The following is a 20324-nucleotide window of genomic DNA, read 5'->3' on the forward strand; positions in this document are numbered from 1 at the left end:
CGGGTATCATTCACCATTTTTCTTTTCGTTAACTTGCCGTCAGCCTTTTCTTTGACCTCTTCTTTCTGTTCATGTGTATTTGCTGTCTCTTAGCCCAGACTTCCCGTGTCCTTTCCACCGGGCCTTTGAGAGGTCACAGGGTCTTGATGCTGTGGTCTTCATCTGCAGGTGTCTGACTTCCAGCAACTGCTGGCCTGTGCCAGGGTGCAAGCTGAGCACTGGAGTGGAGTTTCCCTGTGGAGAGGAGCCATGCCTAGAGTGGGATGGGCCATTGTTCATCTTCTGGCCCCTGTTGTCTGCATGTAACTTAATACCACAACCAGGCATAGGGGAAAGATTGGAGGAAAGATGAGTGAGAGCATCAACTTCTCTGACAACCTAGGCCACTAAGTAGTGCTTGTGCTCATCTCCTTGGCTGTGATACGTGGCCGGCCCTCGCTCCAGCAGCTGCACCCCTACCTGCCGTCTGCTGCCATCGGAGCCCAAAGCCGGGCTGTGACTGCTCAGACCAGCCAGCTGGAGGGGCTCAGCAGCTCTGGCTTTGGCCCTGGGAGAGCAGGTGGAAGATCAGGCAGGCCATCGCTGCCGCAGAACCCAGTGGATTGGCCTAGGTGGGATCTCTGAGCTCAACAAGGCCTCTCTGTGTGGTAGGTGCAGAGAGGGGAGGGGCAGAGCCGCAGGCACAGCGAAGAGGGCTGAAGAAATGGTAGAACGGAGCAGCTGGTGATGTGTGGGCCCACCGGCCCCAGGCTCCTGTCTCCCCCCAGGTGTGTGGTGATGCCAGGCATGCCCTTCCCCAGCATCAGGTCTCCAGAGCTGCAGAAGACGACGGCCGACTTGGATCACAGTCTTGTGAGTGTCCCCAGTGTTGCAGAGGTGAGAGGAGAGTAGGCGGTGAGTGGGAGTGGTGTCGCCCCTAGGGCTCTGCTGGGCTGGCGTCTCCTGTCTCCTGGGGAGGCTTGGATGCCCCTCCACACCCTCTTGATCTTCCCCGTGATGTCATCTGGAGGCCTGCTGCTTGCAGTGGCCTATAAAGCCTCCTGGTCTGGCTCCAAGGCCTGGCACAGTCTTTCCCAGGGAAAGCTACAAGCAGGAAACAGTCCGCATGGGTCATCCCCTTCACTCCCAGCTCAGAGCCCAGGCCAGGGGCCCCCAAGAAAGGCTCTGGTGGAGAACCTGTGCATGAAGGCTGTCAACCAGTCCATAGGCAAGCCTGGCTGCCTCCAGCTGGGTGGACAGACAGGGGCTGGAGAAGGGGAGAAGAGGAAAGGGGGGCTGCCTGCCCTGTCTCCCACCTGAGGCTGAGGAAGGAAAGGGGGATGCACTGTTGGGGAGGCAGCTGTAACTCAAAGCCTTAGCCTCTGTTCCCACGAAGGCAGGGCCATCAGGCACCAAAGGGATTCTGCCAGCATAGTGCTCCTGGACCAGTGATACACCCGGCACCCTGTCCTGGACAGGCTGTTGGCCTGGATCTGAGCCCTCGTGGAGGTCAAAGCCACCTTTGGTTCTGCCATTGCTGCTGTGTGGAAGTTCACTCCTGCCTTTTCCTTTCCCGAGAGCCTCCACCACCCCGAGATCGCATTTCTCACTGCCTTTTGTCTGCCCAGTTTCACCAGAAGTAGGCCTCTTCCTGACAGGCAGCTGCACCACTGCCTGGCGCTGCGCCCTTCCTTTGCTCTGCCCGCTGGAGACGGTGTTTGTCATGGGCCTGGTCTGCAGGGATCCTGCTACAAAGGTGAAACCCAGGAGAGTGTGGAGTCCAGAGTGTTGCCAGGACCCAGGCACAGGCATTAGTGCCCGTTGGAGAAAACAGGGGAATCCTGAAGAAATGGTGGGTCCTGGCCATCCGTGAGATCTTCCCAGGGCAGCTCCCCTCTGTGGAATCCAATCTGTCTTCCATCCTGCGTGGCCGAGGGCCAGGCTTCTCACTGGGCCTCTGCAGGAGGCTGCCATGTGTCCTGCCCACCTTCTTAGAAGCGAGACGGAGCAGACTCATCTGCTACTGCCCTTTCTATAATAACTAAAGTTAGCTGCCCTGGACTATTCACCCCCTAGTCTCAATTTAAAAAGATCCCCATGGCCACAGGGCACCTGCCTGGGAGCTTGTCACCTCCCCCACCTTCTTCATGAGTCACTCCTGCAGCCTTGCTCCCTAACCTGCCCCACAGCCTTGCCTGGATTTCTATCTCCCTGGCTTGGTGCCAGTTCCTCCAAGTCGATGGCACCTCCCTCCCTCTCAACCACTTGAGCAAACTCCAAGACATCTTCTACCCCAACACCAGCAATTGTGCCAAGGGCCATTAGGCTCTCAGCATGACTATTTTTAGAGACCCCGTGACTGTCACTGAAACCTTTTTTGTGGGAGACTATTCCTCCCATCTGCAACAGCTGCCCCTGCTGACTGCCCTTCTCTCCCAGAGAAACAGGTCAGCTGGGAGCTTCTGCCCCCACTGCCTAGGGACCAACAGGGGCAGGAGGCAGTCACTGACCCCGAGACGTTTGCATCCTGCACAGCTAGAGGTCCTTTATTAAAAGCACACTGTTGGTTTCTGCTCAGTTCTTTATTGATTGGTGTGCCGTTTTCTCTGGAAGCCTCTTAAGAACACAGTGGCGCAGGCTGGGTGGAGCCGTCCCCCCATGGAGCACAGGCAGACAGAAGTCCCCGCCCCAGCTGTGTGGCCTCAAGCCAGCCTTCCGCTCCTTGAAGCTGGTCTCCACACAGTGCTGGTTCCGTCACCCCCTCCCAGGGAAGCAGGTCTGAGCAGCTTGTCCTGGCTGTGTCCATGTCAGAGCAACGGCCCAAGTCTGGGTCTGGGGGGGAAGGTGTCATGGAGCCCCCTAGGATTCCCAGTCGTCCTTGTCCTCGTCTACCTGTGGCTGCTGCGGTGGCGGCAGAGGAGGGATGGAGTCTGACACGCGGGCAAAGGCTCCTCCGGGCCCCTCACCAGCCCCAGGTCCTTTCCCAGAGATGCCTGGAGGGAAAAGGCTGAGTGAGGGTGGTTGGTGGGAAACCCTGGTTCCCCCAGCCCCCAGAGACTTAAATACAGGAAGAAAAAGGCAGGACAGAATTACAAGGTGCCGGCCCAGGGCGGGCAGCGGCCCTGCCTCCTACCCTTGTGCCTCATGACCAGCTTGTTGAAGAGATCCGACATCAAGTGCCCACCTTGGCTCGTGGCTCTCACTGCAACGGGAAAGCCACAGACTGGGGTGAAGAGTTCAGTCACATGCGACCGGTGGCTCCCTGTCCCCACCCCCATGACACTCCCCAGCCCTCCAAGGCCACTGTGTTTCCTAGTTAGCTCAGAGCCTCAGTCGATCCCTGACCCAGCACCGGGCACTGATGAGAAAGCGGCTGTTTGAGGAGCCACCTCCCAGCCACCTCGGGGCCAGGGCCAGGGTGTGCAGCACCACTGTACGATGGGGAAACTGGCCCAGAGAGGTGAGGCAGCTTGCCTGGGGTCACAGAGCAAGGCAAAAGCAGCGCTGGGTACAAGCTCAAAACCATAGTGCCCAGGGCACTGCCGCTGCAGGCGCAGGCATCGCATCACACCAGTGTCTGCGTTCACAACAGGCATCATCAGTAGCCTCCAGAGGCCTCAGGTCCAGTCTCTAAAAATATCTCAGGAGGCTGCAGTGGCTGACCATTGCCTTGGACCGCTCTTGGCTGTCGAAGAAGATTCTCCTGTCACAGTTTGAGCTGGGTGAGCTTAGAGAGGAAAGCTCCACTATGGCTCCCAAACCAGGAAGGAGCCATAGCCCAGGCAGGAGGGCTGAGGACCTCTGGTGGCGGCCCAGGGCTTCCAGCATGTGCCCTAGGGGAAGCAGGGGCCAGCTGGCAAGAGCAGGGGGTGGGCAGAAAGCACCCGGTGGACTCAGGGCTGGAGGGGAGGAGGCGATCTTGCCCAAGGCCCTCCGACTGCAGGCTCCAGGGCCCGCTCACCTTGCTCCTGCTCCTTCTGCTTCTTCTTCTCCAGCTTTCGCTCCTTCATGCTGCGCAGCTTGGCCTTGCCGATGCCCCCAGCTTGGCGGATGGACTCTAGCAGAGTGGCCCAGCCACCGGAGGGGTCGACCACTTCCCTGGGAGCTCCCTGGACTGGAGCCGGGAGGTGGGGAACAGGGCAAGGAGGAAAGGCTGCTCAGGCAGGGCTGGGGAAGCTTACTGTGTCCAAGAGCCTGCTGGGAGGGAAGTCACCTCCCCTCAAACGAGGAGCCCCGCGCTGGGGAGGCCGGACCTTTGGAGACTGTGTGGGGCCTGGGCACTGACTTCTGCAACCACCTGAGCGCGGGCATCCTGTGTGCAGATACTCCCTGCTTCCTCTCTAGCCCCCACCCTGCAGAGCTGGACCCCTGAGCTAGCCATGCTCTGACAGTCTCAGTTGCACACATGAGCCAGCAGAGGGGTTTTGTGCCACTTCTGGATGCTAGGGTTACACTGGGAGATACAGCAGTGAAGCTGAAATGAAAAATGTGTTGCTGTAGTTTGTTATTAGACCCCTTCTTTCCATTGGTTTAATTAGGAATGAGGAACCCAGAGCCTCACTTGTTCAGGCTCCCTCTGCCCTAGAAGTGAGAAGTCCAGAGCTCTACAGTTTGAAAGCCACTATTTTATGAACCAAGTAGAACAAGATATTTGAAATGGAAACTATTCAAAAAATTGAGAATTTCTGACCACTTAACAAACCCACAGAAAATCCACCCGAGTGCACTGAGCACGCCAGAAATCAGGTGGCCTCAAAGAGCTGCTCCCACCTGAAGGAGACGTGCTGCTGCTGCTGTCGTCCTGCCTGGCGCCTTGGCCTACAGGGGCCGCGGTTGAGGGTGGGAGTGGGGGTGCACTGGCCAGCACCTCAGGAGCTGGGGGTGGTGGTGGGGGCGGTGGGGGTGGTGTTAGTACCCCATCTTGTAGGTCTGAAACACAAAGTGTGGGGTGTCTAGGGAAGAAGGTGTGTCAGCAGGGAGGTCCCCGGCACAGCTCCCATCCCAGAACCCAGCTCACCTGCCTTGAGAGGCTCGGCTACCTCAGTGTGGAAGGTGGGCAGTTCTGGAATGGTGCCAGGGGCAGAGGGGGCAATGCCGGGGCCCAGGTCGGCAATGTACATGAGGTCGTTGGCAATGCTGGGCAGGTCAGGCAGGTAGGATGGAACATCAATCTCAGGCACCTGGCCCAGGTCTGGCACATAGAAGTAGTTCTCTGGGACCTGCAAGATTAGGCAGGGACATGTGAGAGGTGACAGGGACCTGCAGGGGCAGCCAACAAGACCTTGTGTGCACCTCCCATGGGTGGAATAAGGGGCCCAACAGCCTTGACTGGAGAGGAGCTCTGGCAAGGCCCTGGGCCACTGCACCTGTCTCCACCTCTGTCCCACCCCTCCCACCTGCTGTTCCAGCTGCTCTCTCTTGCTGATGGACAAGGGGGCATCAAACAGCTTCTCCTCTGTCTCTGCCCCCAGCATCACATGGGTCTTTGTTACAGCACCAGCCAGGGGGTCCAGGAAGACATACTTCTTCTACCTACAGAGGCGACATGGGGGTCAGGCAAGATGACACCCGCTGTCCTGAGCCCATGTTCCTCTCCCACATCATCAGGGGCACAGCGTGCACTGTGGGGTCCCAGGCCTCCCAAGCCGAGCCACCCCAGTCACCCCCTGGCTCCTGGGCTATGTGCTGTACCTGTGTCTGATGCCCTGGGTCCCCACTAAGCCAGGCCGGGCCTCCCGCCCACACCCCTCGGCCCTGCCTTCTGGCCATACAGGTTCTCGGTGGTGTTGAAAAGCAGCAAGGAGCTGACAGAGCTGATGTTGCTGGGAAGACCCCCAAGTCCCTCTTCTGCATCGTCCTCAGGCTCCGGCTTGGTGCTCACGCACACAGGAAATTCCTTCAGCTTCTCCTGGGAGGGCCAGGATGGCCAAGGGATGGTGAATATTTGGTGCTGGGCCTAATCAGCTGCCACCCCATCCCAGTCAGCCTCCTCTGGGGGACAGAACCCTATGGTGGCCCCGGCTCCTCCCCAGTATCCAGTCCTCCTGGTGTGTGACAGGCTAAGTTATGTGCGCAGCCAGCAGACCTGCAGGGCCCGCTCGTCCAGGGGGCGGTGCTTGCTCTGGATCCTGTGGCGGGAGCGTCTCTGCAGGCCAGGGTCCTGGGCGCCCGTGAAGATGGAGCCATATTCCTGCAGGTGCTCTGGAGCAGGGTACTTGGCACTGGAGAACACCTGTGGACACAGGGACAAGTCTGAGGGGGCCCTAAGAGGCTCAGAGGGCTAGGATTGCTTGGCAGGAGAGGGTGGAGTTGGAAGCCTGGGCGAGAAGAAAGCCCAAGGTACAGGTGGGCAGCAGGGCAGAGAATGGGCGGCCTCAGAGGCACGGGGAAAAGTCTCAGGACACAGGGGTATGGGGACTACCTTGATGGCCTTCTTGCTGCCCTTGATCTTCTCAATCTTGGCCTGGGCCAAGGAGACCTTCTCTCCAATGGCCTGCACCTGGCTCCGGCTCTGCTCTACCTGCTGGGAGATCCTGCCATGGAGAAGATCACAGAGGCTGGGCTGCTCCCCACCCCCTGCACACCTCCTGCTTCTAACAGCAGAGCTGCCAGGCCAGGCCCTCAGGCAAGGGCTCTGAAGTCAGGGTCACCTGCTTGCCAGGGCCGATCTTGGTGCCATCCAGGGGGCCTCTACAAGGATAATCTGACCTGCAGGGTCGAGGAGTTGACGGTGCTGAGTTCCCTGCACTCTCAGTAGGGACAGGCCCTATGCTGCCACCTGTACCTGCTATCTGAAGGACAGCCTCCAGGGCACACAGAGGATGGTATTTACACATGCACACATGGCTACTGATGGGGCAAGCACTTCACAACCCCTCATGATCACGTGCAGCAGACAAAGTCGCCTCTGCAGAGGGGGAATGGAGACCGGAGGCTGAGACTGGCAAGGCTGGACCTGAGTGTCGTCACCTAAATTCAGACGGGGAACTGCCCCTGCACATAGTGAACGGCTCACTGAGCAAACCCTGAGTCCCGACCACCGCCTCAGTGTGGTCTAGCTCCTCACCTGCTTCCATCCTCCCTGGTGCGGGGTGGGCCCAGTGATATCGGCTGCCTGCTGTTCCCCAGATGTGCCAAGTGCATTCTTGTGTGCTTGCGTCTCATGGAACGCCATTTCCCCAGACATCCCTGTGGCTGGCTCCTGATGCCCGAGGCCCAAGTGTCTGATGCTTTAAGGCACATCACCCCACTCATGCTTTTCCATGTTCTTTGGCCGCAGCAAGGCCGCTCTCACTGCAAAGTTAACTCTGATGCGTGTGTAACACGACATCCTCCTCCCAGTCGCCCCTGTAGCTCCCCTACCTCCAAGAGCCCAGCCCATGCCCACAGGGCCACACTCCACGTGCAGAGCAGCCTCAGCACTCACCGGGCACGAGCGAGCCTGTGTGGTGCGCAGGGATGAGAAGGCAGAGGCGCGACTGGGGTTCATGAGGAAAGGGAGGGGGAGGATGTGGGATGGTGGAGGGGCTGCAGACTCTGGGCTAGGGAAAGCTGGCATGCCTCTAAAGGTTGGAATGAATGGCCTAGAACCGGACCCAATAAGCCAAAGCCACTTCCACCAACGTTAGAAGGCCTTGGCCCCCAGAGAGCCAATTTCACAATCCAGGAGTCCCCGTGCCCTAATGGGTCTGCCCTGATTACTCCTGGCTCCTTGTGTGCAGGGGGCTCAGGCATGGCAGGGCTGGGAGTACCAGCAGGCACTCAAGCGGCTTAAGTGTTCCATGACAGACTGGTATGAAGGTGGCCACAATTCAGAAAGAAAAAAGAAGAGCACCATCTCCTTCCAGTGAGGAAGCGGGGCCACCACCCAGCGTGTGCTCCATCTTTTCTGGCTGGGGAGAGGCCTTCATCTGCTGTAAAGGGTCCTCCAGCACAAGCTGTCTTAATTGACCCTAGTTCCCAGGGCAGCCTCGTTCTGCCTTGGGTGCTGACACGACCTTCGGTAGGTGCATAAGCTCTGCATTCGAGGTCCACAGGGGCAGTGGGAGGGAACTGAGACTGGGGAGGGACAAAGGCTGCTCTGTCCTGGTGCTCCCACAAAGGAGAAGGGCTGATCACTCAAAGTTGTGAACACCAAGCTCAACAATGAGCCCTGGAAAATTTCTGGAATGGATTATTAAACAGAGAGTCTGTAAGCACTTAGAAAAGGCCGCAGTGAGTCCCAGGGGCCAGCACTGCTCGAAATGTACAGCATTTCTCTTTGTAACAGGATTATTAGCCTGCTGTGCCCGGGGAAAACATGCACCACAGCGCATCTCGAGTCAGCCGGATTTTGACGGCTTCTAACAGAATCTTGTAGACAAGATGGAGCTATGGGGGTTGGAGGAGAGAACATATAGGAAAAATCAGAGCCAAATGAACCACAGTCCCAAAGGGCACAGTTGAACAATGGACTGATTCCAGCCTTGCACGGAGGGATCTGGCAGAGTCCATCCAGTTCATTCAACACCTGGTTAGAAAACTGGGGCCAGCACACAGGGGAAGGGTAAGCTGGTTTCATGATCGAATCAAGGCTCAGACAATTTTTAAAGGCCAGAGGGTAGACTGCAATCACCAAGATGAAATTTACAGGGAACAAATGTGAAGCCCAACATTTAGGTTTTAAAAATCAAGCGTATAAATACAGAAGGTGGAGGGAACTTGTTTTAGACACAGTTCAGGTGAAGAAAGACCTGGAAACTTCTGTTAACTATAAGCTCAGTAGGGGCTAAAAGCATGTTAATCGGCATAAAAAGGCAATGAGATCTTAGGGCACACAGCTCCCCACCCCTCTTCTGCCCTTCATCCTTCTTTCAATCAGCAGGGACCGTGCACTCTCTTGGAGCCACCACAGAAAACAGAGCCCTGGACTCATGAACGAATCCATGCCAGGCACCAGTCTCAGCCACAGTCACATCCCTTTAAACTGGATCCACACAGTAAGAGGACTCTGAACTCCCCTGCAGACTGCGAAGTCAGCCTCATTCACTGCTAAGTCTCTAGCACCTGGGATGGGGCCTGATGTGTAACAGCCGCTGGCTGAACAGAAAGTGACAGATGAGCAAACATCTCAAGAAGGGTAATGAGGATGGTGATGAGCGAGAAACTCCCGACATGTGAAGATAACTGAAGGATGTTCTGGCTAAAGATCAGAAGACTTTGAGAATATGATCATTCCCTTCGAATATCAAAATATCCAAAGGGCTGTCAGGTGGAGAAGTGAGTAAACTTGTATCAGGAATAGCGGGCAGAGTTGCAAGGAAACAGATCTCTGTTCTGTTAAAAAAAAAAATTCCATAAACTGCATCACTTTGCAGAGCAATTAGGTTCCAGCTCACAAGCGCCTTCCGGGGGTGCCCCAAGGGTGAATCCTGCCTAAGGTGGAGGTAGAAGACATGACCCTGGGACTCTTTCCTTAGCCAAGAGCCCATGAGACTAAGGAACATCGTGCTTCTTGACAAAGCCCCCGGACAGTCTATTCTCTTACGGTCACAGGCTATGGTGCCGAGGACAAGTGCAGACTCAGGATCAGAAAGCTTGCAGCGTATCTGCTATCTCCATGGACTAGCAGGATGGTCTGGAAGGCTGTGTCGGGAAGGCCCTTAGGCCTCACTGGGGCCAGGCCGTTGATGAACAATGTCCACCCTGAGGGTGGGGGAATGGTGCCATTTGTTTGTCATTCCTGGTCCAGACGCCCTTGGCTTGGTGGCCTACTTCAAGGTAGGTCAGTTTACAAGCTCAGTGCTGAAGCCATACCCTATGGCACGCTCACCCAGCACTAGAGAGGAAGCTGCCTCTGTGGACATCAGGGACGGAAGTGGCTCACCCAGCCTGTTCTGCGCGTGGTCTCACTAAGGGTCCATCTTCCTCTATCTGCCCCGGAGAGGACCATCTCCAAGCATCCCTTGCTTTCCTTCTCCCCCCTCCACCCCTCACTGTTCAATAACCAGAGTGCATCCCATTTGTAGAGCACATGCTGGGGCCGTGGGAGTCAAAGACGAATCAGACGACACACATCCACATTCAAAGGGACTCAGGGCTCCTGGGGAAGTAAGAAATGAATATCAATAACCACAACATCCCACAGGCCTGGGTTTCACATCTGTTTAGCAGCAGTGTGACCCTGGGGAGGTCACTAACTGGTCTTTGCCTCAGCTTCTTCCACTGAAAAACAGGAATGGTCCCTTCTCCATCATGGGATTACTGTGAAGGTGAGAAGGAGCTGATCATGGCCCATCAACATCAGCACACCAGTCCCCCTAGAGGCTGCTGGGGAGGAAGAAGCAGGGAGCACCCACTCCTGACCCAGATTCACATTCACTGCTTCTCCTCCCCTGCCTCTGTCATGACCCCAGGGAAGCAGACGCTGAACCTGGGCTCTTGCCTTCACCTTTATCTTCTCCACTCTGGGATAATTAAGAATGACTTGCTAATTATGCAGTGATCTAGTGCAATGTGTAACCTTCGGGGCCACCAGGTGCCAATCGGTAGAGAGAACAGGGGAGAAGGAAGGATGGAGGAAGCGAGGACAAGGGGAAAGGGGAAAGGAGGAAGGGGAGAAGAAAGGAAGAGGTGGGGAAAAGGACAAAGAGATGGAGGAAAGGACCAAGAGCTTCGCAGAGAAAATCACCCTTCCCAGGGGGAAGGTGCTGGGCAGTGGCACTGCCTCTTGGGGGAAGAGGTTGGGCAGGGGCTGACGGGCAATGGCAGATGACAGCATCCAAACTTCCACACACAGAGTCTGTTCCTTCCTCTTCCCCGTGCCATCCCAACTCCCTTCTGCCTTGTCATCTACGTCATGGGAAGCAGGTGACATATCTGGCAAGTTATTTTGGGGGCCTGGCTTCTCCCAGGTGAAGAGGGAGCAGCAGCTGGAGGGGCAGAAAGAGGGGACAGGGAGGGGCTGGAGGGCACAGCTGAAGACAGCCTGGGAGGTGACTGTCATCCCCTCCAGTCTCTGCACACTCCCGGCTGCAGCAGAGCAGGAGGAGAGAGCACGGCCTGGAATGCTAATTTGCCAGGAGCTCACCTGCCTGCGTCACTGGGCACAGACGCCAGTGAGGCCAGAGGCCGGGCTGTGCTGGGGCCTGAGATGGGGTGGTGGGGAGAGAGTCTCTCCCCTGCCCCTGTCTCTTCCGTGCAGGAGGAGCATGTTTAAGGGGAAGGGTTCAAAGCTGGTCACATCCCCAACAAAAAAGCCCACGGACAACGAAAAGCCCACTCGCTTGTCCAGTGCCACAGGAGGGGGCAAGTGGAGGAGGAGAGGTGGCGGTGCTCCCCACTCCACTGCCAGTCGTCACTGGCTCTCCCTTCCCTTCATCCTCGTTCCCTATCTGTCACCATTTCCTGTCGTCGTTTCCTCTGAATGTCTCACCCTGCCCTCCCTGCTTGCAAGTCCCCTGTCTGTAGCCTCACCCCTGTCGCATCCTGACTACAATAACAGCTTCTGGGTGTCCCCGGCATCCACTCTCTCTCCCTTCTTATCCCTTCCGTGACGGATGCCTGAGGAACCTTCCCCAAACTCTTCTGTCCCATCCCTGCCCTGCTCAAAATCCAATCACAGCTCCCTAACGCTCCTGAATCAACGTGAAGTCCTGTCTTGAGTAATCCGTGGGCCCTAACTCACTCATCCCAACTCTTCACTCACTGCCTTGCCCCACACCCTGCCAGGGAGCCTCCCGTGGCACCGTGGGGACACAAAGGAACCAGGGCAAAGCTCCCTCAGCCCCATTCAAAGAGGCCTGGCCCACAGGCTCACGGAAAGTCAGCCTCTCATGCCCCGAGAGCTGAGTGCAAGGGAGAGGCAGCGCTGTCTGTGCTTCCCATGCAGAAGCTCCCCCCTCCCACCCCTGTGCAGGCCGGCCTTCGCGGCAGACCACCATACACCACGTTCCAAGCCACACTGAGGCCTCCCTCCAAGCCTGCAGCCCCCATTTCCAGACCCCACCAGGGCAACCTGCATATCCACCTCCCTACCCTGCCCCCCTCTTCCAGGAGTCTGCCCTATGTGGAGTAAGCAAGTGGTTTTACTCTTCAGCAACTATTTCCTTTTTACTCAAGCAATGGCCCCATTTCCCTTGGGGAATCCATCTCTCTCGCAGGCTTAGTCCCAGAGCTTCAGGTGGGGCTGCCCACAGAGCTCCTCAGTCTAAGCCAAGTGGTTGTGTCATAGTCCCCTGGCCCCATTAATGGATTCTGGGATAGACATGAGGACCAAGCCAGGTGGGATGGGTGAGTGTGGCTTCTGGAGGAAGTGGGGACACAGGAGAGCATTCTTTCCTGCTGGACCTGACCCTGTGTCGTGTCACCTTGCTACCACGACAGCATGGCCTGTCTGGGAATGCAGCCAGACCCAAAGAAGCAAACTGACATGGAAGAAAAGCAAAACCAGGCCCTGAGGACATCATTTTAGCCCTTACTCCGAAGGCTGCTCTACTGATTGGTTAATTTCTGCTTAGCTTGGTTTGGGGAGTTCTGACAGGCGTGCCACCAATTCTTACCGATTTCTCTCCACTCTAGACCCTGAGAAGCCCACGCGGTTCATGCTAGCAATTAACAATCAATCTCGCCCTATGTGTTCCCATTCCAGCCTCTAGGACACAGTGTCAGCCACATAATTGGTATCTCTTAAGGTCCAGCACGAGGTGGAGCACATGGTGGAGAGACAGATGCATTGACCTGGAACCCAGGAGTGAGGGAGCCAGGACTCAGGCCCAAGGCTCCTGAGAGGCATCTGGCCCTCCCTGCGCTGTGCCAGCAGCTTGGAGAACCCACACTCAATGAACGCAGCACTCCACTACCCAGGAAATGCCTTCCTGCCCTCTCCTCATCCCATCCCTGGGCAGGGGACATGCAACTGTCTACAAGGTGCCAAGTACCAGGACAGGAAAGGAAAGATGCCAAAAATCCAGCGCTGCCCTCAGAGAAGGGCAACCACGCAGTCCCCATCTTGGCAAGGAAACACAATTTCCGAGGGAATGGTTTTGGCCTCCATTCTAAGTGCTGGACATGGGGTGGCCATAATCTGGAGCTGATGGCTCTTAAAGACCTGCATCCTCTTCCCTAGGCGTCCCTCAGGCACATTTAGCACAAAGATAAGCACAAAAGGTGCATCCAGCACTTTGTTACTATTGGTGGCAGGTTCATGAATGGCAACCAAAGGCAGTGTACGGGTCAAGATTATCAACAGGGAAGAGACAGCATTTCCTGAAGGCTTCCTAGGTGCCAGGCACTGTTCCATTCCTTTGCATGTTTTGATTAATTTAATATTTACAATAATTCTACCAGGAAGCTACCATTATTACCACAACTTCACAAATGAGAACACCGAGGCTTAGAGGGGTTGGGTTGCCCAAGGTTACAGAGGAAGAAAACAGGGGAGCTGGATCTGAGCCAAGGCATCAACTCCAAGGTAACCCCTCAGTCACTTCAGTGTGTGTCCCCTGGTTACTGGGACATTCTTGACAAGCTTGGGGCAAGCCGGTGAGTCAGTGGGGGAGGACTTTCAGGAAGAGGTGGGTTCCCAGTTGGTGACAGAAGAGGAGGCTGCAAAGTGAAGGAGCAGGGGCTCCAGGTCTGGCGACAACCAGGGAAGGGACAGGGCAGGGATGGCTTGGACCACGAGAGGCACCTGAGTCAGGCAGTCACATACTTCCCGCTGGGGTCTACCATGTGAGGCATGGTGTGGGATCCTGGGAAGGAGACCAAGCCTCATTTCAGTTTGCTTATGGCCAAAGACAGGACCTGTGTACCCGACAACCCCTGGGACCTTTGCCAAAAAAACAGCAAACACCATTCACTCACTCATGTAAGATAAACACTGAGTGAAGTCACTGGAGCCCAAGGACTGTGCGAGGTCAGCGCTGCCAATACAAGAAGCTGCACCCCTCCAGCTCGCCTCCCTCAATGGCCACTCCGTGCTCCAGCCATGCTGGCTTCCTTTTAGGTCCTCCACCTCCAGGCTGTAGTTCATGTGCTTCTTTCTGGAATGTTCTTCCCAACCCACCCACTCAACCCTCAGACTTTACCATAAATGTCATTTCCTCACATCTGCCTTCCCTGACCTGAGACCAAGCCAGGCTTCCCATGACGAGCCTCACAGTACCCCATCTCCCCTGAACAGATGCAGTAATAACCTACGTAACCCGGGGCCATGATCTATGGCTTTGAATCCTGGCTCTGTCACTAGGCCAGGTCTCTCAGCCTTTCTGTGCCTCAGTTTCCTCATCTGTAAAATGAGATGACGGCAGTGCCTGCTCATGAAGTGTGAGTTAATGCACTCAAATCAATGGTGGTGCACGGTTTATATGAATATTAGTGATTACAAAATATTATCAATAGACCTTGTCACAACTGTTATTGAAGAACTAATCATCTATTGCTTATTTAGGTCTTTCTCTCCTGCCAGAATGTGCGCTCCAGGTGGAGAGGTATGTTGCCTTATCCATGGCTGGATATATAGAGATTCCCACACTGCCTTGCACACGAGCACTGCTGGGTAAATATTTGTTGGCTGCAGGAAAACGTGAAGGAATAGGCCCTCCAATGGGAGGAAAAGCATGAGTTGTGAGAGCAGAGCCACCACAGGAAACCAGGAGGCTAAGTGGGGTGGAAGGGAGTGAGCTCTCGGACTCCCAGGAGTAAAAGCTTCCAAGTTGGGCTCTCACTTCAGCCCCTCCCACACAGGGAAACCAGATGGGTTCCCCAGGACCAGGATTCCCCAAGGGGGCTGCTCCCAGAGGGTGTGTTGCTGGGATTGCCCAGGACAGGGATGGCCCTCTCATCAGGTGGGGGTGAGTGGCAGCACCCACCTGCTGAAGATGTCTCCAGAGACCTTCTGCAGGTACTGCAGGGCATCCGCCATCTGCTGGACGGCCTCCTCTCGCCGCAGGTCTGGCTGGATGAGGGGCACGGCATAGGTCTGACCTGCCAGGGAGTGCTGCATCCTCACAGGAGTCATGGTGCCTGTGGGTCGGAGCCGGAGCATCAGAGCCACCCACGACCACCGGCACGCCCCCACCACAGGGCAGCGTGGTGTTGAGACAACACAGCCCTCATCCCAACTATGCACATAGCTTCAGCCTGCACAGATAGGGGAGTAGGGGACAGAGCATTTGCTGAGAGGCCAGGAGCGCATAGATGGGACTCTGCTGATGCCTGCTGAGTGAATGAGGGAAAGGGCAGGGCCAGGGACTGGGGAATCTCTAGGGTCAATGGAGGAGTTCAGAGAAGGTGCAACATTTCTGACCCCCTACAAGGTGCTTGCTACCTGCCAGGCACCCTTTCCATACCTTGTCTCAGTTCAGCTCCCCACCTTGGATAAACAAGAAACCTTGGTTGCAGAGGAAAAAAGAGGCTGGAAACAAAGGGGTAGAAATGGGGTAGCGGGGGAGATTGCCTGATCAACTGCCAAATGGTACACAGTTCTGGAAAAGCACAAAAAATGTGCACACACGGGTTCTTCCCACTTTAACCCCTGAGGAATTTGAGGTCTGCTCCTGAAACAGACTGGGCAGTGGCTAGTGACTCTAGGTATAGGAGTATCCAGCCCTGCTCACCCAGGCTAGAGCTTAGGGGGCCAAGAGGAAAGAGGTGCCTGTGGGGGTGGAGGACAGGAAGGAAAAACACTCCTGGAATTGCACAGTGAGGGGAGAGTCTATTTATATTGGGTTTAATTAACTCCTCTCCCTGGTGCCACTACAGCAGCAATCACACTGCAGACAGCACTGATTTGATTGGCAAGAGATGCACCAGGCAGAATATTAAGGGACCAGGCCCCTATAAATAGGCCTAATCACAGCCCCTCGCTGGAAAATGGTAAGGAAGACATTAATCAGGCCTGGCACTATGCCCTAGACCTGCTCCCCTAGGCACTACAGTGGGGCCCTTGGTTGCAACACAAGTAGGTAGGGATGGATGAGTGTGGCATGAAGGGCCTAGGAGATTTCATTTGGGTTTAAAATGCTGTGACCTTGAGTAAGTTGCCGTCTCTGAATCTGATCCTTTCGATTTCCCATTCTCCAAACTGAGAACTAGCACTGCTGAGACGTGGTTATTCCCAATAATAATTTGTATATTTTACATAACATACCACACCGGATTCACCCAGCTGAAGCCTACTCCTTTGCTCCCCCTGCTGGCTTCCCCAGCCCTCCCTTCTGCCCTCCTCAGGCCAGCACTTTTCAGTGAGTTCCTCCTTTGCATACAGGCTTTCCAGATCTGTACTTGCCTAGAATACTCATCAGAGCCCAGGAGTTACTCCTCACCTCGCACTTATTTTTCCTCCCATCAAATAACTAAAGCATGGCCAGCTGATGCCCAGCCAACTGAGAAACCTAACCCTCTGAGACCAGCACACCCCTTTCAAGCATGTTCCTCCCTCCCCTTCTTTGTATTTATACTGATGCAAGTTTGCTGGCTGTCCTAACTTATTTCTGTGCCTCAGTTCTCCCATATGTAAGATCACAAAGGGGGTAAAGATGCAAGATATTTCCTGTGCACATCTTCAGATGAATTTCTTGTTAGTGTGTGTGTGTTTGCTCACACATATGCGTGAAAGAAGAGTACATACACAAATCTCCTCAAAAAGGAGACAGCAAGCCCGTTCAAGAATGGGACTGAATACACCTGATGAGTGGTTTACTTTCTGTCTGCAAACATCTACTGATCATCTGTTAGGTGCAGACCATGATCACAACAAAGACGAATAAGACACTACACTAGCCAGGGAGAGTCTCAAAAACAACTAAACTCAAATTAAATTCATTCTACTCCAGTCATGAGTACAAAGCTAAGGAGTGACAAATCCCTCTTGGAGTTAGGGGAGTCAGGAAAAAGCTCTTAGCAGAATGTGTGCCTCTCGGCCGGGCGCATCGGCTCACGCCTGTAATCCCAGCACTTTGGGAGGCGAAGGCAGGCAGATCACCTGAGGTCGGGAGTTCGAGACCAGTCTGACCAACATGGTGAAACTCCATCTCTACTAAAAATACAAAATTAGCCAGGCGTGGTGGTGCATGCCTGTAATCCCCGCTACTCGGGAGGCTGAGGAAGGAGAATCACTTGAACCAGGGAGGTGGAGGTTGCAGTGTGCCAAGATCGCGCCATGGCACTCCAGCCTAGGCAACAAGGGTGAACCAGGTCCAGGAAGAAGGTGCAAAGACAGCATTCCAGGTAAAAGAAACAGCTTGAACAAAAAGTGTGTAGGGGAACCGCAAGCGGTCTTGAGTGCTGAGGGTACAATCATCCTTGGGGAAGTACTAGAAGAAAGAATGATAAACAGAGGCCAGTTTGTTAAAAACACTCAAAATTAAAGCTAGGAGTTTGGACTTGTGGCAGGAATGAAATCCTTAGACCTGTGCTGTCCAATATGGTAGCCACCAGGCACATGCAGCCACTGAGCACTTGAAATGTGGATAGTCTGAATTGAGATGTGCCATAAGTGTAAAATATGCACCAAATTTCAAAGACTAGAAAAAAAGAATGTAAAATATCTTATTATTTTATATTGATTACATGCTAAAATAACCATATTTGGGATATACTGGATTTTAAAAATATATCACTAATTTCATCTGTTTCTTTTTACTTTTAGAAATCACATATGTGACTTAAATATTTCTTTTCTTTTTCTTTCCTCTCACTCAGCGTCCTGTGATTCCAAAGAAATGAGTCTCTGCTGTTTTTGGGCAGCAGATATCCTAGAATGGACTCTGACCTAAGCATCAAAATTAATCATCATAACGTTATCATTTTATGGCCCCTTCTTCCTATATCTGGTAGCTTTTAAATGATGACCATGTAGATAATCTTTATTGTCCCTCTTTCAGCAGACGGTATTTTCTTATGCTACAGTATGACTGCTAATAATACCTACACATGTTAGAACCATTCTGACTCCTCAAGAATCTCATTTAACTCTTATTATCAGTGAATTTATCATCATCCCCTATTTTACATAAGGAAATGGGGTTAGAAAGACCAAATAACATTTTTTCAACATCAAAACACTAGCTTGAGATCAAGCCCAGACTTGGATCTGTCGTCTGAATTCCAAGCTTTTTGTTATTGATATGTTTTGTTGTTTTCATGCAATAATGCAAATCTTAGCCCAAACATTTTGTTAGTAGTACCAACTGTAAGTCACCTTATCTTCATACTTTGTCTTTATGTAAACCTAAATTAGATCTGTTTTTGATACTGAGGGAAAAACAAGGGAATCTAACACTAACCAGCCCGTAGTGTGTGGTCAACACTTTCGTTACTTTAGTATACATCACCCCAATTGTTTGTCTTCACCACACACTTTGGAGTTAGGTAGTAGTATCTATTTTTACAAATAAGAAAACCCAGGCACAAAGGGGTTGATTAGCAATTATCTTTTGAAAAGCCTGTAGTTGCTCATCTGAAGAAGTGATGGACCACCTCTTATTTAGTGGACAGACAGTAACTAGTTGAGAAGACAGGGGATTTTGTTGGCGGAAAAAAAATTTTATCAAAAGTCGTCTTCTATCAGGGAGTTTTATGAGAAACCCTAGCTCCTCAGTTCCACAGTGGGTAACTGTAATTCATTCTAGGTCTGCGATATTTCCTGCCTATCCATTTTGTTAACTCTTCAATGCATTCCACAAATACCTAAGTATTATTTAATAATGGTGGGGTTTTTTTTTTTGCATCTATGAAGTTTTTTCAAATTCTTTTTAAGTGACAAAACTTGTACATGTGTATCGCACAATATTTCTAGTCGACAGCACTGCTTTACAGAATGTAAACCGTGCACTCCCAGGAAAATGCAGACACAGCACGCCTCTTTGGGACCGCGGTTTATACTTTCGAAGTGCTCGGAGCCCTTCCTCCAGACCGTTCTCCCACACCCCGCTCCAGGGTCTCTCCCGGAGTTACAGGCCTCGCTGTAGGCCCCGGGAACCCAACGCGGTGTCAGAGAAGTGGGGTCCCCTACGAGGGACCAGGAGCTCCGGGCGGGCAGCAGCTGCGGAAGAGCCGCGCGAGGCTTCCCAGAACCCGGCCGGGGCGGGAAGACGCAGAAGTGGGGAGGCGGAACCGGGACCCCGCAGAGCCCGGGTCCCTGCGCCCCACAAGCCTTGGCTTCCCTGCTAGGGCCGGGCAAGGCCGGGTGCAGGGCGCGGCTCCAGGGAGGAAGCTCCGGGGCGAGCCCAAGACGCCTCCCGGGCGGTCGGGGCCCAGCGGCGGCGTTCGCAGTGGAGCCGGGCACCGGGCAGCGGCCGCGGAACACCAGCTTGGCGCAGGCTTCTCGGTCAGGAACGGTCCCGGGCCTCCCGCCCGCCTCCCTCCAGCCCCTCCGGGTCCCCTACTTCGCCCCGCCAGGCCCCCACGACCCTACTTCCCGCGGCCCCGGACGCCTCCTCACCTGCGAGCCGCCCTCCCGGAAGCTCCCGCCGCCGCTTCCGCTCTGCCGGAGCCGCTGGGTCCTAGCCCCGCCGCCCACAGTCCGCCCGCGCCTCCGGGTCCTAACGCCGCCGCTCGCCCTCCGCTGCGCCCTCCCCGAGCGCGGCTCCAGGACCCCGTCGACCCGGAGCGCTGTCCTGTCGGGCCGAGTCGCGGGCCTGGGCACGGAACTCACGCTCACTCCGAGCTCCCGACGTGCACACGGCTCCCATGCGTTGTCTTCCGAGCGTCAGGCCGCCCCTACCCGTGCTTTCTGCTCTGCAGACCCTCTTCCCAGACCTCCGTCCTTTGTCCCATCGCTGCCTTCCCCTCAAGCTCAGGGCCAAGCTGTCCGCCAGCCTCGGCTCCTCCGGGCAGCCCTTGCCCGGGGTGCGCCCCGGGGCAGGACCCCCAGCCCAGGCCCAGGGCCCGCCCCTGCCCTCCAGCCCTACGCCTTGACCCGCTTTCCTGCGTCTCTCAGCCTACCTGACCTTGTCTTTACCTCTGTGGGCAGCTCCCTTGTGATCTGCTTAGTTCCCACCCCCCTTTAAGAATTAAATAGAGAAGCCAGACGCAAAACTACAGATATCGTATGAGTCCAGTTTTGTGAAGTGCCTAGAATAGTCAAAATTCACAGAGACAGAAGCAGTGGTCGCCAGGAATGGGGAAGCAAGGCGGAGTTGGGCAGCTCGTGTTCAATGGGTAGAGTTTCAGGCTGGGGTGATGGAAGGGTGCTGGAAATGAGTGGTAGTGATGGCGGCACAACGGTGTGAATCTACTTAATCCCACTGAACTGTATGCTGAAAAATGGTTTAGACGGTGAATTTTAGGTTATGTATGTTTTACCACAATTTTTAAAAAGCTAGTGAAAAGCTGGTAAAAAGAAAGAAAAGAGGCTTTTTTAA

At 54.6% G+C, this 20324-nt stretch overlaps 2 pseudogenes across 1 annotated transcript, besides 5 other annotated features; one reads left to right on the forward strand and one right to left on the reverse strand.

The window, feature by feature from the left end:
- DDX11L8 (DEAD/H-box helicase 11 like 8 (pseudogene)) lies at positions 338 to 2554 on the forward strand (annotated as a pseudogene).
- On the reverse strand, positions 2505 to 20043 carry WASH8P (WAS protein family homolog 8, pseudogene; annotated as a pseudogene). Its single transcript, NR_130745.1, has 11 exons — positions 19906 to 20043; positions 14829 to 14982; positions 6401 to 6512; positions 6065 to 6211; positions 5751 to 5887; positions 5376 to 5511; positions 4997 to 5198; positions 4750 to 4908; positions 3941 to 4093; positions 3113 to 3181; positions 2505 to 2972 (listed from the first exon to the last, which is right to left on the reverse strand). The product of NR_130745.1 is annotated as a WAS protein family homolog 8, pseudogene (transcript).
- Positions 6565 to 7065: an enhancer, noted in NCBI's record as "H3K4me1 hESC enhancer chr12:86703-87203 (GRCh37/hg19 assembly coordinates)". NCBI's record gives its function as "activates a minimal SCP1, AML or CMV promoter by ChIP-STARR-seq in naive H9 embryonic stem cells {active_cell/tissue: H9 hESC(naive)}" and the evidence as "EXISTENCE:reporter gene assay evidence [ECO:0000049][PMID:30033119]".
- Positions 11412 to 12291: an enhancer, noted in NCBI's record as "H3K27ac-H3K4me1 hESC enhancer chr12:81477-82356 (GRCh37/hg19 assembly coordinates)". NCBI's record gives its function as "activates a minimal SCP1, AML or CMV promoter by ChIP-STARR-seq in naive H9 embryonic stem cells {active_cell/tissue: H9 hESC(naive)}" and the evidence as "EXISTENCE:reporter gene assay evidence [ECO:0000049][PMID:30033119]".
- Positions 14458 to 14957: an enhancer, noted in NCBI's record as "H3K4me1 hESC enhancer chr12:78811-79310 (GRCh37/hg19 assembly coordinates)". NCBI's record gives its function as "activates a minimal SCP1, AML or CMV promoter by ChIP-STARR-seq in primed H9 embryonic stem cells {active_cell/tissue: H9 hESC(primed)}" and the evidence as "EXISTENCE:reporter gene assay evidence [ECO:0000049][PMID:30033119]".
- Positions 14958 to 15459: an enhancer, noted in NCBI's record as "H3K4me1 hESC enhancer chr12:78309-78810 (GRCh37/hg19 assembly coordinates)". NCBI's record gives its function as "activates a minimal SCP1, AML or CMV promoter by ChIP-STARR-seq in primed H9 embryonic stem cells {active_cell/tissue: H9 hESC(primed)}" and the evidence as "EXISTENCE:reporter gene assay evidence [ECO:0000049][PMID:30033119]".
- Positions 19159 to 19825: an enhancer, noted in NCBI's record as "OCT4-H3K27ac hESC enhancer chr12:73943-74609 (GRCh37/hg19 assembly coordinates)". NCBI's record gives its function as "activates a minimal SCP1, AML or CMV promoter by ChIP-STARR-seq in primed H9 embryonic stem cells {active_cell/tissue: H9 hESC(primed)}" and the evidence as "EXISTENCE:reporter gene assay evidence [ECO:0000049][PMID:30033119]".
- Positions 20044 to 20324: the final 281 nt, after the last annotated feature.

Source organism: Homo sapiens, chromosome 12 (genome assembly GCF_000001405.40).
Source record: "Homo sapiens chromosome 12, GRCh38.p14 Primary Assembly".
Lineage (NCBI taxonomy): Eukaryota > Metazoa > Chordata > Mammalia > Primates > Hominidae > Homo > Homo sapiens.